This window comes from Homo sapiens, chromosome 14 (assembly GCF_000001405.40).
Source record: "Homo sapiens chromosome 14, GRCh38.p14 Primary Assembly".
Classification (NCBI taxonomy): Eukaryota; Metazoa; Chordata; class Mammalia; order Primates; family Hominidae; genus Homo; species Homo sapiens.
In genome coordinates, this window is record NC_000014.9 from 77831754 (window position 1) to 77850248 (window position 18495).

General features: G+C 47.8%; 1 protein-coding gene across 13 annotated transcripts in view; it reads left to right on the forward strand.

Moving 5' to 3' along the window:
* ADCK1 (aarF domain containing kinase 1) overlaps positions 1 to 18495 on the forward strand; it is a 134906-nt gene that overhangs the window by 31645 nt on the left and 84766 nt on the right. The window lies entirely within an intron of this gene.

Below are 18495 nucleotides of genomic sequence, written 5' to 3' on the forward strand. Positions count from 1 at the left end.
CTCCTGCAACCTTTAGAACCATGGGATATGGTAGAGTGTTTTGGAGAAAAAGGGACTCAAATTTCTGGCCTGTGGATATTGGTTGGAGGGGCAGAGTAAGGGGCTAAGGTCGGGTGACAACTCTATAACTATTCCACTGCACTTGAGAAAGACATCTTGGGCATCAGCAAGCTCAAGCCTCTAATGTACACATGTGGAAGTAGAGTTCTGTAAAGGTGATGTGATGGCTTTTTTTTTTTTTTGAGACGGAGTCTCACTGTATCACCCAGGCTGGAGTGCAGTGGCATGATCTCGGCTTACTGCAGCCTCTACCTTCCGGGTTCAAGCAATTCTTCTGCCTCAGCTTCCTGAGTAGCTGGGACTACTGGCGCATGCCACCATGCCTGGCTAATTTTTGTATTTTTAGTAGAGACAGGATTTCACCGTATTGGCCAGGCTGGTCTCGAACTCCTGACCTCATATGATCCGCCCGCCTTGGCTGTAATCCCCAAAGTGCTGGGATTATAGGCGTGAGCCACCGCACCTGGCCAGTGATGTGATTTCTTACATCCCCAGCAGGTGTGTAGCACATCATGAACTTGATCTTGATGTTCAGATACTGCCCAATCTCATGTTCTTTGCACTTTATACTCTGTCGTTTCCCTGTATATCTGCTTCCAGTCTGGGGAAAAGCACCAAGTTGGACAGAAAGTAGACACAAAGATGCCTGTGCAGCAGCTCTTGCCAACTGGCTGCTGCTGCTGGAGTCGCTCCTCCTGCCTCTTCACCCTCCCTCCTCTGAGCCTGAGGCTCTGCTGCTGCCTGGGATGGATTTGGGAAACACCGGAGGAGGAAGAAGGGCAATAGAGCCACCTCCCTGAAGTTCCTTTACTCATTTAATCAATAAAACAGTTAACAAATATTTAGCATTCTCCTATGGAGGGGAGGGTAGACCCTTCAAAAGGAATTGATAGGTGCTGGCTCTTTGCTTCAGGAAAGAGTTTCAACTCTGAAGCTATTGAACAACTGCCAGTTTTGAGGATAACCATCCTACCAGTCTAGTGAAGGTATAATTCACTAAGCATTTTAAAGATCCTGTTTGTCTGCAAAGGGAACTGTAGCAATGTCTGGTTCTTCAGGAATATTCCCTGAAACCTGGGATCTGGTCTGGCCAAACCAGGACATTTCTTCACCATCCTTCCATCCATCTATTACATTAGCTAACGTTAACTGAGCCTGCTCTGTGTCAGGTACAGGGTGAGGCTCAGAGGAGAAAATGGGAAGTAAGACTCAACCTCTGCCCTCAAGTTGTCATAGTTGAGGGTTGGGGGTAGGGGGGCAGAAGGCATGAAATCACCAGCTACAGGACTGATTTGTCTATTAGAACTCTGGCCCCTGGTCTGGAATTACTTCTCCTGATCCCTGACAGCAGCTAACTTCCAGGCAAGGTGGGCATGTTCAGGGGTAGCTTTTCTTGGGAGATGGGGCTGGGATGCGTTCCTCCTGGAGTAGTGGTCTGGGTCTCATTGAGCTACAGCTCCTTTGCACGTGCAGCACCTGTCGACCTGTCATGGAATCTTTTCAGTGAGTTTTCAAGCACTGTGCGTCTAGACCCACTTTTGCTGCTTTTGTTTGTCATCACGGAATGTTTGCTTGGGAGTGTTCTGCATAGAGGAGGAGAGAAATTGAATCCTTGCTATCTTGGTGACTGGCTTTCTCGGAGTTTGTGATAATTTCTGCAGGAGCATGAGCTGCATTTAATTCTCTCTGGTTGGGTCATCTAAGGACCAGTTCTTTGGAATTAGGGAGACAGAGTCTGTGAGTCTAGCACCTCCTTTTTAGCTTTCTGAATACTGCATCGAAATCTGTGCAGTTTTCCACAGTGGCCCTGACCTCAAAACCGTTCTGATTCTGGAGGATTCTGTAGGAGTAGGTTCTTGAGCCTTGACGTGACCTGGGGAGAAACTTGGTAGGGCCCATGGCCATCAGTGGGAGTCCTGGGGGTTAATGTGGGCCTGGGAGAAAATGTGATTCTCCCTGGAGATTGGGCTCACTGTGTAGTGGCTTCTCTGTAGGTCCTAGGCAATCAGGGAAATGCCAGCTACCCTCTCAATTGGTCTAGACTTGTTAGTTACCTAGGGACCATGGCCAACACCAGCGTTTTATTTTTCCATATCTGTATACAGCTTGTATTTTAAAAAATGTGTAATATTTAAGACCTAAGACAAAGTGTAAAAAGGAATTCAGTGATCACCCTCATGCTTATTGCCCAATTTCAGAAATAGTACACTTTACCCATGCAGTTATAGCCCGTGGGTACTTCCTCCCTGACTCCAACTTTCTTCCTGCATATCCAGAATTAAGCAGTATTTTCAATTCATTGTTTATTATTCCCATACACTTCTTTATAACCAACTATTCAGGTATTTCTGTGATATTTTTCATCCTGTCAACACTTTTTCCTTTCTTGGCTTTGTTCTAAGCAAAAATATCTGTGAAATTACAGGTTTGATTTTCTCTCTCTCTCTGTCTATCTAATGCATATGCAAATAAATATTCTGGGTACCAGCTGAAATTGCCTCTTGTACCACCTTTTGCATACCATCACTGCTGCAAGGTCGTACTTTGAGAAACAAGGCTGCAGCATCCGTAGCAGATGCTACTGGGCTATGCCCTGGCTTGCACCCACTCTTGTCTCGATCTTTACCCTGCTGTTTTTGGCTACTCTCTTTCCGGCTCTTCTCTTTTCCTAGCTCACACCATTCATCTCCTGGGAATGCTTTAGGATTGGAGATGCCTGATGTGATGGTGTTTGCTGCTGTGGTTCTAAAGCAGTGATCTTTTCCAAAGGCCACAGCTATAATGAAACAAAACAACCCCCTGGGTTTTTGGTGGTATGAGCCCGTTGCTGTGTGCTGGGCATCTCTCCATTCTGATCAGCACACAGTTCCTCTCGTGTGCATGTCTGCAGCTCCCTCACCTATGTGGGCTGCCTGGACACATGGGTGGGCTTCCTGCTACTTCAGAGCTGCCCTCCAGTTGCCCCTACCACCTGGTTCTACAGGGTAAGTGGAGCAGGCACAACACCCAGCTCCACAGAGAAGGTCCTGCATTGTGAGGACCTACACTTCTAACAAGGCCCTCTATGGGGCAGGAACTGGAGTAACCCTGGTTTCAGCCTACCCTTGCCCATCTCAGACCCTATCCCAGACCAACCCAGGCTGGGCTTTTCATTGCTGATTGCTTTCCCCACTGAAAACCTCCAGCAGTTTTCTGACCCGCCCTGGACTGGGTGCTTCGGAGCTGTTTCCACCTCTGCTGGAAATGGATGTGGCAACATCATGAGAGATGCGGGGTAGGCATAAGCTAGGACTTCCCTGTGGCTGAGGCAATTTAGTACTGGAGTGCATAGAAGTATCCTTGGTCTAGACTTATTAGTTACCTAGGGACCATGGCCAATACCAGCATTTTATTTTTCCATATCTGCATACAGCTTGTATTTTAAAAAATGCGAAATATTTAAGACCTAAGACAAAGTGTAAAAAATAATTCAGTGATCACCCTCATGATCATTGCCCAATTTCAAAAATAATACCTTACCCATGCAGTTGTAGCCTATGGGTACTTCTTTCCTGACTCCAGCCTTCTTTCTGTATAACCAGAATTAAGCAGTATTTTGGATTCATTGTTTATCATTCCCATGCAACAAAGCCAAATGTCCTTCACCCAGAACAGCTGTAAAGCAGCTTTCCAGAAACAGAAGAGATTTTATGTCTGTCATTAAGGTGGGAATGGGACAGCACCCAGGTGGTTCACAACCTGTCAGACAATCAGTCACCTGGGGAGCCTTATAAAGCACACATTCCTTGGTCCTGTACACTAAAGATTTATTGTCAGTGATTCTGAGGTAAGGCCTGGAAAGCCTCACTCTGGTGTCCAGGCTGGAGTATAGTGGCTTGATCATGGCTCACTGCATCACTGCATCCTCTACCTCTTGAGCTCAATTGATCCTCCCATCTTAGCCTCCCGAATAGCTGGGACTGCAGGCTTGCACCACCACACCTGGCTAATTTTTGTATTTTTTGTAGAGACAAGGTTTCGCCATGTTACCCAGGCTGGTTTAGAACTCCTGAGCTCAAACATTCCCCCTGCTTCGGCCTCCCAAAGTGCTGGGATTGTAAGCATGAGCCCTGCCAAAAGCCATATTTTTAATGAGTTCATCAGGTAGGCTCCTACTAATGGGTATCTCCAAGTTCGTGTTTTAGAAACTTAATCTGCAAAGCAAGAGTGTTGAGAAGTAGGACCTTCAAGAGATAATTAGGTCATAAGGGCTCTGCCCTCATGAATGGAATAATGCTGTTACCGTGGGAATGGGTTCATTTTGGGTACCTTCCCTCTCTCCCTCTCTGTCTCCACCCACAATCCCCACCCTTTCATGGGCTCTCTGACTCTTCTACCTTCCATTATGGGATGACCCAGCAAGACGGCCCTTGCCAGATGCGGGTCTCTTGGTCATGGGCTTCCCAGCCTCTAGAACTATTTAAAACAATGTTTTGTTTTGTTTTTAAAAAGTGATCCAGTCTCAAGGATTTTGTTATAGAAGCACAAATGGATGAAGATGGCTTCTGCTGCACTGTACTTAGGGGTCTCTATTATCTCATTTAATTTTTACAGTAGCCCAATGAGGTAAATACCATTGTTATCATCCCTGTTTTACAGATGAAGAAACTGATGAACAGACGGATGGAGTGACTTGTTCAAGCGTCCACAGCTAGCAAGCGGGTGTACTAATTTCCTGTGATTGCCATAACAAATTACCACAAATTGGGTGGTTTAAGGCAATAGAAGTTTATTCTCCTACATTTCTTAAGGCCAGAGGCCCAAAATCAAAGAACCCCCAGGACCATGCTGCTGGTGGGAAGCATTCTAGGGAAGAACCCTTCCTTGCCTTTTCTGGTGGCACCAGGCATTCCTGTGGCTGCATCATTGCAATCTCTGCAATCTAAGCCTCTATCTCCTCTACCTTTTCTTTCTTTCTTTCTTTTTTTTTTTTTTTTTTGAGATGGAGTCTTGCTCTGTCATCTAGACTGAAGTGCAATGGTGCGATCTTGGCTCACTGCAACCTCTGACCCCCGGGTTTAAGCGATTCCCCTGCCTCAGCCTCCCGAGTAGCTGGGATTACAGGTGCCTGCCACCTCATCCGGCTACAGGGGAATCAACTAATTTTTTGTATTTTTAGTAGAGACAGGGTTTCACCATGTTGGTCAGGCTGGTCTCGAACTCCTGACCTTGTGATCCACCTGCCTTGGCCTCCCAAAGTGAGCCGCCGTGCCTGGCCTACCTCTTGTTTTTAATAAGGACAACTGTCATTGGATTTAGGGTCCACCTGGGCAATCCAGGATGATCTCATCTTAAAAATTCTTTTTTTTTTTTTTTTGAGACAGTCTGGCTCTGTTGCCTAGGCTGGAGTAGAGTGGTACAATCTCTTCTGCCTCCTGGGTTCAAGTGATTCTCCTGCCTCAGCCTCCCAAGTAGTTGGGATTACAGGCATGCATCATCATGCCTGGCTAATTTTTGTATTTTTTTGTAGAGACAGGGTTTCGCTGTGCTGGCCAGGCTGGTCTTCAACTCCTGGGCTCAAGTGATCTGCCTGCCTCAGCCTACCAAAGTGCTGAGATTATAGGCGTGAGCCACCATGCCCAGCTTCATCTTAAAAATTCTTAATTATATCTGCAAAGACCCTTTTTTCTGAATAAGGTTACAGTCACAGATTCCAGGGGTAGAACATGGACATATTGTTTTGGGGGCCACCATTCAACCCACTACAGGAACTTAGAATTAATGCCAAATGGTGCAGCTCCTCAGGCTGTGCCTGTAACCACTCTACTCCCCGGCTCACTAATCTGGACTGGATGAGCTCCCAGGGTTCCTCCAGGCCAGTGGTCCATACAGCATGGGGTTCTGTGTTGTATCAGGGCATCAGAGCCATCTGTCAAGCCTCGAGACATCAGTGTTTTTTTCTCTACCTCTCTCCCATCCCCTCAGCCCTCTGCAATTTTTCCTGAAACCCTTTGGGCTGTTCATCTTGGACTCAGAAAATTCCCATGTATTAACATGTTGACAAAGTTAGGCTGCAGGTGCTGTGAGGACAGACTCATACTGGCTTGGATGAGATGTGTTTCTCTTGCCTCAGTGGCCACAGCTCCAAAATGCGAATTGCTGGAATAGCAGGGCTAGATGGAAGGCTGTAATATAACTAATAAAATTGACGGAAGGCACTCCGCAGCCGTAAGGGTGATCGAGATGCTTGTTAACAGCAGTAATAATCTAATAGCCTGTTCTTGATTTCCCACTTCTCACTGTCTTGGCCCCAAGCAGCTATTTTCTACCAAATTAAAATCCACTCAGCTCTCTTCCTGTCCCTGAATAAAACTACTCTCAAAGCTCTTGCCTGTTACAGCAAGACTTTTTAATAGACTTTTCCCTGTAGAACCGTGAGACATATGTCCAATTAGCCGAATAACTTCACTTAAATATACAAATAAACTGTTGACTGATAACAGCAAGACATATGTGAAGCTAATTTAAGGCAAGGTGGTTCAGGAACTGGGGTGCTGTCCCTCCCACAGCCCCAATCTGTCTTTAAGCTTCTCTTCCCTCCAATCTATTATTATTATTTTTGAGACAGGGTGTCACTCTTGTCGCTCAGGGTGGAGTGCAGTGGTGCAATCATGGCTCACTGCAGCCTGGACTTCCCAGGCTCAGGTGGTTCTCCCACTTCAGCCTCCCAGGTACCTGGGAATACAGGCACGTGCTGCCATGCCTGGCTAATTTTTTGTATTTGTAGTAAAGATGGGGTTTCACCATGTTGCCTAGGCTGGTCTCGAACTCCTGGGCTCAAGCTATCCACCTGCCTTGGCCTACCAAGCTGCTGGGATTACACTCGTGAGCCACTGCACCTGCTCCCGCTCCAGTTTTTTGCTTATGGAAAAGATCTTTACCCCCTAACCCCCAACATGTTATGGGATGAAGGGGGATGTCTCTCTGCTGTGCCTGGCCACAGTGCAGACTATCTAAGCCACTATTCATTCAGCCAATTGTTCAGTGATATTTATTGAATGCCTACTATGTTCCAGGCACTGTGTGGGGTGCTGGGTGTACAATGGTCTGTTCTTGGGAGGACAAGAGGTAATTCACAATGATGGGACTCAAAAGCACATCCGCTCCAGGAGGATAGGGGACTTGTTTGTATTGCTTGCTGCTGTGTCTGCAGCACTAAGAACAGTGCTTGCCACACACAGAGTGGTCTCAGTGTACACTTTTCAGGAAATCACTGTGGGTCTAAGTAAACAAGGTCATTTCAGCTCTTGCTGAGTGCCCTAAAGGAGATAAAATGTAGTCATGGGATAAAGAGGGGCTGAGGGAGAGTCTGGGAAGGGCTCTCTCGCATGATGTTTTTCAGCTGAAACTGAAGAATGATCAAAGGACTAGCAAGTGAAGGGCTGCGGGGAGACTGTTAGAGGAAGAGGCAGGGCCGGCCATGTGATTACGAGGACTAGTGCAAAATGAAAATGCTGGGCTCTGGCTGGGCGTGGGAAAGCCTCCCTTCCCATGGCCCTGCTGCCCCAACCTTCAAAGGATGGGCAGGTTCCGGGAAATGGCAAGCTGTGTGCTGGGGCGAGCTCAGGATCTGGATGGGGGTGGGTGAGAGGTGCCTGCCAAGCTGTGTGCTCAGCTTGCTGTGGCTGTTCTAGTTTAGGATGGGGCTGGATAACATGTGGCACCTGTGTGACCCCAACCCTCCCCGTGCCTGTGTCAAGGCCACCTGCAGGGTGGAGAGCAGTGCACAATGCAGGCCTCCCCTTCCCGGTGCACTGCTTGCAGAGAGCAGCAGTGATGGCAGGTAGAAGTAGGGAGATGGGGCCCGATGTGGTGGCTGGCCTGTAATCCCAGCACTTTGGGAGGCCGATGCAGGTGGATGACGTGAGATCAGGAGTTTGAGACCAGCTTGGGCAACATGATGAAACTAAAAATACAAAAATTAGCCAGGTGTGGTAGTGCGCGCCTCCTCAGCTACTTGGGAGGCTGAGGCAGGAGAATCGCTTGAACCCGGGAAGTCGAGGCTGCAGCAAGCTGAGATTGCACCACTGCACTCCAGCCTGGGGGACAGAGTGAGACCCTGTCTCAAAAAAAAAAAAAAAAAAAAAAAAGGAAAAAAGAAGTAGGGAGGCGGGGAGGAGCTGGGGTACTCGGGGCAGGGAATGGTCAGCCAAGGAGGTGGGACTGTGTGGAGCTGAATCTTCTGGCGCACCTTCCTTTGTCCTATCAGACTTCACTTCCAAAACACAAATTCAAAAATTTCAAATTCAAGAATAGCGTGAACCAGGGAGGTGGAGGTGGCAGCTACTAATACAGTAGCTTCCTATGACTATTAGTTTCCTGTGACTGCTCTAACAAATGTTCACAAACATAGTGGCTTCAAACTATACATTCATTCTCTTATAGTTCTGGAGGTCAGAAGTCTGGAACGGTTCTCACTGGGAGAAAATTAAGGTGTCAGCAGAGCTGCGATTCTTCTGGAGGCTCTAGGGGAGAATTCTTTTCCTTTTTTTTTTTCCATCTTGTAAAGGCTGTCCACATTCCTTGGCTCATGGTCCCATTCCTCCATCTTCAAAGCCTGTGACATCTGGCTAAGTCCTTCTCCCCCTCCCATCTCCCTGGCTCTCTTCTGCCTTTCTCTGCCACTTATAAAAGCCATGGTGATTACACCGGGCCAATCTGAGTAATTCTGGATAATCTCACTGTCAAGGTCAGCAGATTAAGAAATTAAACTGGCCGTGTGTGGTGGCTCACGCCTGTAATCCCAGCACTTTGGGAGGCTGAGGGGAGTGGTTCACTTGAGGCCAGGTGTTCAAGACCAGCCTGGACAACATGGTGAAACCCTGTTTCTACTAAAAATACAAAAATTAACCAAGCATGGTGGTGTGCGCCTGAAGTCCCAACTACTTGGGAGGCTGAAGCACGAGAATAGCTTGAACCAGGGAGGTGGAGGTGGCAGTGAGCTGAGATGGTGCCATTGCAGTCCAGCCTGGGCGACAGAGTGAGACTCAATCTGAAAGAAAGAAGGGCAGCAGGGAGGGAGGGAGAGAAGGGAAGGGGAGAGGAGGGGAGGGGAGGGAAGAGGGAGGGAGGGAGGGAGGGAGGAAGGAAGGAAGGAAGGGGAAAGAAAGAAGCCTTCATTTCTTCTGCAATCTTCATTCCCTGTGCCATGTAAGGTAACACATTCATAGATTCCAGGGAGCTGGACATGTACATCTCAGGTGGCAAGGGCATTATTCTGACTTCCACAGTGACTGCAGGGCATTAAACCACACACTCAGGCCTTCCCAAGTGCAGGGCAGCTGCATGCCCTTGAAGCCAGCCCTGGAGAGGGAAACTGCAAGCCTAAAAGCCCCGATGTGGCAATGAGCTTGGCTCACTGAAGGACATGGAGGGAGGCCCGAGTGATAGACTAGAGTGAACGATAGGGCATGTGGTACAAAATGAGACGAGAGAGACTGGCACAGGTCAACGGAACAACACGGAACCCCATGCTGTATGGACCACTGGCCTGGAGGAACCCTGGGAGCTCAGGTCAAGAACACAGGGCCTCCTACGTGGCAGTGAAGAGTTAGGAACAGCAGGCTGGGATCTGCTATTGGATCTTTAGGGGAAAAAAAACTCTATATAAAAAATTTCAAATGTAATTAAAAAGTGTGGAGAATAATAGGCTGAACCCCTATACCTGGCACCTAGATCTGAAATTTGCCAGGCCAGGCTTAGTGGTTCAGGCCTGTAATCCCAGCACTTTGGTTGGGAGGCTGAGGCGGGTGTGTCACTTGAGGTCAGGAGTTCAAGACCAACCTGGACAACATGGTGAAACCCCATCTCTACTAAAAATACAAAAAAAAAAAAAAAAAAAAAATTAGCCAGGCGTGGGTGTGTGCCTGTAATCCCAGTTACCTGGGAGGCTGAGGCAGGAGAATAGCTTGAACTTGGGAGATGGAGGTTGCACTGAGCCGAGATCACACCACTGCACTCCAGCCTGAGTGACAGAGTGACAGAGTGACACTCTTTAAAAAAAAAAAAAAAAAAAAAATTTGCCAGGCCAGGCATGGTGGCTCATGCCTGTAATCCCAGCACTTTAGGAGGCTGAGGAAGGAGTGTTACTTGAGGCCTGGAGTTCTAGACCAGCTGTAGTCCCAGCTACTTGGGAGGCTGAAGCAGGAAGATCGCCTAAGCCCAGGAGTTCAAGGCTGCAGAGAGCTATGATGGCACCATTGTACCCCAGCCTGGGCGACTGAGTGAGATCCTGTCTCTGTAAAACAATCAAACATGACACACAAACAAACAAAAAATTTGCCATAATTCTTTCATTATTATTATTATTTTTTTTGCTGACAAATTTAAGCAAATTATAGAAATCATGGCATGTCACCTGTAATTTCAGTGTGCATCTCTAAAAACTGATATTTTTCTAAGTTATCATGTGATTATCTCAGCTAATGATATTAACAGGAGTTCTTTAATTTCATCTAATTTCTATGTGTGTTCACTTGTCCGCCAAATGTGCTGCCTGTTGGTCTTCACATTGTCCCTGAGCTTTGTGCCTATTTTAGCTGTCTCTCTGAGGTTAGAGTGAGGCCTTCTTCCCTGTATCTTTCAGGGTATTTTTTTTTCCTTCCTTCCTTCCTTCCTTCCTTCCTTCCTTCCTTCCTTCCTTCCTTCCTTCCTTCCTTCCTTCATTTCCTCCCTCCCTCCTTCCCTTCCTCCCTTCCTTCCTTTCTATTTTTTTTTGTTTGTTTGTGATGGAGTCTCACTCTGTCACCCAGGCTGGAGTGCAGTGGCACAATCTTGCAATCTCCGTCTCCTGGGTTCAAGCAAATCTCCTGCCTCAGCCTCCAGAGCAGCTGGGATTACAGGCATGCACCACCACGCCCAGCTAATTTTTGTATTTTTAGTAGAGACAGGTTTCACCATGTTGGCCAGGCTTGTCTTGAACTGCTGACCTCAAGTGATCCACCTGCCTTGGCCTCCCAAAGTGCTGGGTTTACAGGTGTGAGCCATTGTGCCTGGTCGAGGGTATTTTTTCTTTTTCTTTTCTTTTCTTTTCTTTCTTTCTTTTTTTTTTTTTTTAAGACTAGGTCTTTTTCTGTCATCCAGGCTGGAATGCTGTGGCTGAAACATGGCTCACTGCATCCTCCACCTCCTGGGTTCAAGTGATTCTCCTGCCTCAGCCTCCTGAGTAGCTGGGATCACAGGTGTGTGCCACTACTCCTAACTAATTAAAAAATTTTTTTTGTAGACATGGGGTCTTACTAAGTTGCCCAGGCTGGTCTCAAACTCCTGGCTTCAAGTGATTCTCCCATCTCAGAATCTCAAAATGCTGGGATCACAGGCGTGAGTAACCTTGTCTAGCCAGAGTTTTGTTTTCTATTCTTTCCCACCAGCCCCCAAGAGCCCCAGGCTTTGAGGAAATGAAAAAGACTCCTGTCCCACATTCAGGCCTGTGGCCTGAGCAAGCATGGTGGGGAAGGGAAGCAGGCTGGCTGCTGCATTCTGCTCGCGGCCTAACACTTGTTTTTCTTGACTGTAATTGCCATTCCAGAGATGCCCTCACTCTTCTAGCCGCTGAACAACTGTTGAGAACAAATTAATTATGCATCTTCTCAGTGTGTGTGATTAAGGGGCAGATGGAGGGAAGGGTCCTCTTCAGCTTTTCTGGCAACTGGGTTCCCAAATGGATGCTTTCCAGACCAAAGAGTACATGTCCTGGGCTCCTGTGGGCATCTGGGTTTGTCTGTGTGATGGCAGGCTTGCTCACTGGCAGGCAGAGTCACAAGTTGCCAGTAATAATATTATTAATCCCTTAAATTTGCAGCCCATTTGCTGTTTGCTGAGGGCTTGCACAGTCACATCAGCTCATTTGTTGGGATTTCAGGGATGCTGGAACAACTTTCTTTGCTTAATTCTTCCCTAAATCATTATTGATGCTTGTAATTCCACCATTAGAAAGTAATTCCTTTCGCTTAAACTCTGTTCTCTATTAAAATGCAAGTATCCTTGGCAGCTGTGTTGTATGTTTTATTCATTAAGCTTTCTTAGCCACTAGCAACTGCCCTCTCCAGATACCCCCATCTGCCACCTTCCTTTTAGGATGGGCTTCTCTGAAACAGAACTTACATTTGGAAACTGTCCCATTTCATAGAAATCTGCTCTAGGTTAGTTGCTCTGGCTGGAAAGAGACAGGTAAAGAAACTCCTGCCAGGATGTGAATGACTGATCATAATTTCTTTTTTTCTTTTTTTTTTCTGGAGACAGAGTCTCACTCTGTTGCTCAGGCTGGAGTGCAGTGATGTGATCTCCCCTTACTGCAACCTCTGCCTGGAGGTTCAAGCAATTGGGTTCAAGCAATTCTTGTGCTTCAACTTCCCAAGTAGCTGGGACTACAAGCGCACACCACCATGCCCGGTGAATTATTTTTGTATATTACTAGAGACAGGGTTTCACCATGTTGGCCAGGATGATCTTGATCTCCTGACCACGTGTTCCAACCACCTCGACCTCCCAAAGTGCTGGGATTACAGATGTGAGCCACCACGCCTGGCCTGATCATAATTTCTTATGTTACCACCTCTAGGGAAGATTCTTATTTTGACTGGAACCTTCTGGAAACAGTGCTCAATGCAAAGGAACCGGTGTCCCTTCATCCTATCATGTCAGTGGCGTTGGTCTTAGCTCTCCCCCCTGTTGGACTCCCTTAGAGAGGCAGTGTGGGGAGCCGGCCCCGTCAGGTCCACCAAGAGCAGACTCGGTCTGTGTAACTCAGATTGGGCGTTGGCCTGGAGTGTAGTTCATTGGGACAGGGGAGAAAATGGAGCTGACCACATAGATGATGGTGTGACAGACTGTCCATCTTGCAGAAGGAAGACTGAGGCATAGAGACAATAATCTACTTGGAGTTGGGGCTAGAATTAAAATTTTGTCTTTAGAACCCCAGTAACAGTTATAGGTTTTTAAGAGTCAGAAGACACCTTAGAAACATCTAGCTCTGGGAAAGCAAAGACATTTCATTTGCAAACTCCACTTGATTAGTAGTGGTTGTCTGAGTGCAGGTTGGAGAATAGGCAAGTCGTCACCTGGACTCAGAGTGCGTGCTGTGGTTGATTAGTGATGTCTGATGTGTGCCACGGGCACAGTAACAGAGGAGAGGCGCATATGCACTCACTTCCTATTCCTGACCCTGCTCAACTTCTCAATTTACAGATGAGCTGAGGCCCAACAAGCTGAGATGATTTGTTCAGGATTGCATAAGTAGGGGCAGTAATTGGCAGAATTGTCCCAGAATCCAGGTCCCTTGAGTCTTGATTCAAAACTTTTTCTTCTGAATTATACTGGTATTCTAAGAGGTATTTCATTATGGTCTTGGAGTTAGACTGCCGGGATTCAGATCCCAGCTCTGCCACTAATAAGCTGTGTGGCCTTAGCCAAGCCATTTAACCTTTCTGAGCCTTAACTTCATCTTTAAAAGAGAGGATAATAATTATGCCTACCATAAATGAGAAAATACATGTATAAAGGGTTCAGAGTAGGGCCTAACACATAGTAAATACTTAATCCATGATAGTAGCTCAATTAAAATGTTCCTTTTTTTTTCTTCCTTTTTGTTGAGACTGGGTCTTGCTCTGTCACCTAGGCTGGAGTGCAGTGGCACAATCTCAGCTCCTTGCAACCTCCATCTCCCGGGTTCAAACAGTTTTCCTGCCCCAGCCTCCTGAGTAGCTGGGACTACAGGCACATGCATCACCACACCCGGCTCATTTTTGTATTTTTAGTAGAGATGAGGTTTCACCATGTTGACCAGGTTGGTCTCGAGTTCCTGGCCTCAAGTGATCTGCCCACCTCGGCCTCTCAAAGTGCTGGGATTACAGGCATGAGCCACCGCACCTGGCCAAAATGTTCCTTTTTAAATTGCTTTATCTTTCTAGATTCTTGGTGGACACAGACACAAAATCATCCCCTGCTCACTCCCTCTGCAGTATCCCTCAGAGTTGCCTGTCAGAAATACCTGCTTCTCTTTCTTTTCCATGGTATGCTCTGGAATCATTTGGGTTTGAAGTGCTCCTGGAATTTGCAATTTCATAATGAAAAGTCCCACAGTACTAATAACCAGGTGTGAGATGGTGCTGGATCTGTAACTACCTGTGGCTCTGGGGCAGCTTTTGCTATCGTACTTCACACTCCAGAAGTTCATTTTGGTTTGGGTGTGTGATGCAGCTCTGGAGGCTTGGCTGTGGTTCCCCAAGAACCAGCTGCCACATGGGGCCTCTCTTGGCCATTTTGCTTAGTTGCTCCTCTGACCAGAACATCACTATAGTATCTCCTTCCGACCATCTCTGCTCCCCTAAGCCAGTGTATCTTCTCCCACCTACCCTGAACCTCGTTCTTAGACTGGACTTCAATAGCCAGCTGGTGCCACCCCCGTCTTCTCACAGCTGCCTCTCCTATAGGCTTAGAAAGCAGGGCCTAGTCAAAGCCTAGACCCAAAGCTATGCTATGGTCCTCTCCCCATCTTAATCCAGCCATGCAGGACCCTGGGTAACAGTTCCCTTTGGGTGACCCTGAGGGGGACCCAGGGAAGCCTTGAGAAGCAGTCGGAGTCCATGACTGTCCTGGAAGCCAGGCCTGGTGTGATGGGGCTTTGAGCTGACCCCTGCATGATTCAAGACAGGACTGTGGAGGGCTTTCTGGGTGTCTTGTGATGGGCAGGTGGCTCTCATTGAGTGAATCATCTGTGATTCCATATCCTGACTGGTTTTTGGGAAAAACCCCTGTTCTGGATCCTCCAACAGAGACCCTCTAGTGATCTGCCCAGCTGATCCCTGCTGAGAAAGGGCAGAGTGGGGGCTGGTGGGAAGGAGGCCTTCCCACTGGGGAACGGTCAAGTCATTGTCCCTGACATTGGAAAGCTCTGTTGCTCTGGGTCTCTCACTGGGTCCCAGACTCGTTTGGTTGCAACCTGGCCATGTCTAGGGTTGCTCCCCTGCTTTTTCTTCTGTGGACCCGAAGCGGAGAAGCTGATCATATCCATGGAGCTGCTGCATGGGCAGAAGCCCCATCTTCTCCAAGAGAGGCTCAGACAAAAAGAGGATTTTGAGCCACACTGGGTGAAAGGAACTCCTTGCTCTGCCCTTCATCCTGGGATTGTGGAAGGCAGTAACATCACTTGTGAGAGGGGAGAGGCGTGGCACGGAGAATGGGTCAAGTCAGGACTAGGAGGAGGTGAAGGGAGGCAGGCTTGGGTCCAGGCTGAGAGGATTTTTCGCAGGTGAAAAGGAGAGTGGTGTGGTGAGATTATGGAGATGCTATGCAAGGGCCTGGGGGCAGGGGATGGCACAGGAGAGAGCTGATAACTGTGGTTGGAGGGTAGAGAGTGAGGTGGGGAGTGTAAGAGATGAAGCCGCAGGACAGCTGGGCTGCCTTGTATGGGCCTGTCAGGAGTTTAAACTTCATACCAGGCTGGGCGCTGTGGCCTACACCTGTAATCCCAGCACTTTGGGAGGCTGAGGTGGGTGGATCACTTGAGGTCAGGCGTTCGAGATCAGCCTGGCCAACATGGCAAAACCCCATCTTTACTAAAATACAAAAATTAGCTGGACGTGGTGGCAGGCGCCTGTAGTCCCAGCTACACAGAAGACTGAGGCAAGAGAATTGCTTGAACCCAGGAGGTGGAGGTTGCAGTGAGCTGAGATCCTGCTACTGCCCTCCAGCCTGGGTGATGGAGTGGGACTGTCTCAAACAAACAAAAAACCCCACAAAAAACCCACTTCATACCAGGGCCAGTGAGGCAGTGAGGACCTTTGAAGGGTTATCGTTGAAGATTGTTTCCCTTTTCCCACTGTGGCCAGTGTGCTGCCCTTCCTGGCCCTGCCTTGTTGGGCTGCACAGTCCTCTAGTGTGGCCCAGTTGCTGTCATCAGAGACCCCATGCTTCTAGGGCTTCCCTGGCTTCCTTCTCACAATGATTCCCAATCTGTTTCTATAACGAGGCCTTCCAGATCCCCCTGTGTGTTCATGAATTTGTTCCCAATCTCAGAGTTTGTTTTCTGGCTTACTGGAACAGTTCCCGGGAGCCCAGACGTGGCCAGAGCCATGGTGGCCGTGTGGCCTAACCCTGAGACTTAGCTGGGGCTCAGCTGGGGACCAGGGTGGGTGGGTGTTGTGAGGAACCGGGGAGGGCAACACTGAGGGCCCCATAGTGGGTAGTGGCCACCTGGATGTTTTTCTTCTTCTTTTAAAAATTTTTTAAAATAAATAGAGATGGGGGTCTCATTTTGCTGACCAGGCTGGTCTCGAACTCCTGGCCTCAAGCAGTCCTCCTATCTTGGCTTCCCAAAGTGCTTGGATTACAGGCATGAGCCCCGGCCTGGATGTTTTTCTTCTCACTTACAAGGAATGTGTAATGGTGTGGATGGGCAGCAGAGTGTAGAGAAAGACAGATGTTTTGCAATTAGAGGGCAATGTTTCAAACCCTGAATCTACTATTTACTGGCTGAGTAAGCTTGGTAAGACCTCTAACTTTTTGGAGCCCAAGTTCTTGCATCCGTGCAATGAGGAGAATGATAGTACCTATCTCAAGGGCTTTTACCTGGGTCAGGTGAGATAATGTGTGTGAAAGACTTCATGCATTTTATTTTATTTATTTATTTACTTAAGATGGAGTTTTGCTGTGTGGCCCAGACTGGAGTACAGTGGTGCGATCTTGGGTCACTGCAGCCTCCACCTCCTGGGTTCAAATAATTCTCCTATCTCAGCCTCCTTAGTAGCTGGGATTATTGGCACGTGCCACCATGCCTGGCTAATGTTTTTATTTTTAATAGAGATAGGGTTTTGCCATGTTGGCCAGGATGATCTCCAACTCCTGACCTCAGGTGATCCTCTCACCTCAGCCTCCAAAAGTGCTGGGATTACAAAGACATGAGTCACCATGCCCGGCCTGTTTATTTTTTTTGAGAGAGTGTCTTACTCTGTTGCCCAGGCTGAGGTGCAGTGGTGTAATTTTTTTTTTTTTTTGAGACGGAGTCTCACTCTGTCGCCCAGGCTGGAGTGCAGTGGCATGATCTCAACTCACTGCAAGCTCCGCCTCCCAGGTTCACGTCATTCTCCTGCCTCAGCCTCCTGAGTAGCTGGGACTACAGGCGCCCGCTACCACGCCCAGCTAATTTCTTTTTGTATTTTTAGTAGAGACGGGGTTTCACCATGTTAGCCAGGATGGTCTCCATCTCCTGACCTCGTGATCTGCCCGCCTCGGCCTCCCAAAGTGCTGGGATTATAGGCGTGAGCCACCGCGCCCGGCCACAGTGGCATAATTATGGCTCACTGCAGCCTCAAACTCCTTGGCTCAGGGGATACTCTCATCTCTGGCTCCTGAGTAACTGGGACCAAAGGCATATGCCACCACACCCAGCAATTTTTAAATTTTTTGCAGAGACAGGGTCTCTCTATGTTGCTTAGGCAGGTCTTGAACTCTTGGCCTCAAGCAATCCTCCCGCCTTGGCCTTCCAATATGTTGGGATTATAGACATGAGCCACCTTGCCTGGCCAACTGGTACTCTCTAATTTACCTTTGATTCTTCTTTGCCCTATGAGTTCTTTAGAACGGTGTTATTTAGTTTTCTTTCTTTTTTTTGAGATAGGGTCTCGCTTTGTTGCTGAGGCTGGAGTGCAGTGACATGATCATGGCTCACTACAACCTTGACCTCCGGGGCTCAAGCAGTACTTCCACCTTTCAGCCACTCAAGTAGCTGGGACTACAGGCATATGCCACCATGCCTGGCTAATTTTTCTTCATTTTTATTTTTTGTAAAGATGGGCTCTCATTATGTTGCCCAGGCTGCTCTCGAACTCCTGGCCTCAGGTGATCCTTCCAGCTCAGCCTCCCTAAGTGCTAGGATTACAGGCATGAGCCACTGAGCCCGGCCTTGGTTTTCAAATATTTGGGAATTTTCCAGAGATTTCTTGGTTATTGATTTATACTTTGGTTCCATTGTGGTCAGAGAAAATATTTTATACATTTTGATCCTTTTAAATTTACTGAGATCTGCTTTATGACTCAGAATGTGGTCTGTCAGCTGCATGTGGTGGCTCATGCCCATAATCCCAGTGCTTTGGAAGGCTGAGGCAGAAGGATCATTTGAGGCCAGGAGATTGAGACCAGCCTGGGCAACATAGTGAGACCAGCCTGGGCAACATAGTGAGACCCTGACTCAACAAAAAATTTTAAAAAATTACCTGGGTGTGGTGGTGTGTGCCTGTAGTCTCAGCTACTGGGGAGGCCAAAACAGGAAACTCCCTTGAGGCCAAGAGTTCAAGGCTGCAGTAAACAATGATGGTGTCACTATACTTCAGCCTAGGAGACACAGTAAAACCTTGTCTCAAAAAACAAACAGAAAGAATATGGTCTCTCTTGGCAAATGTT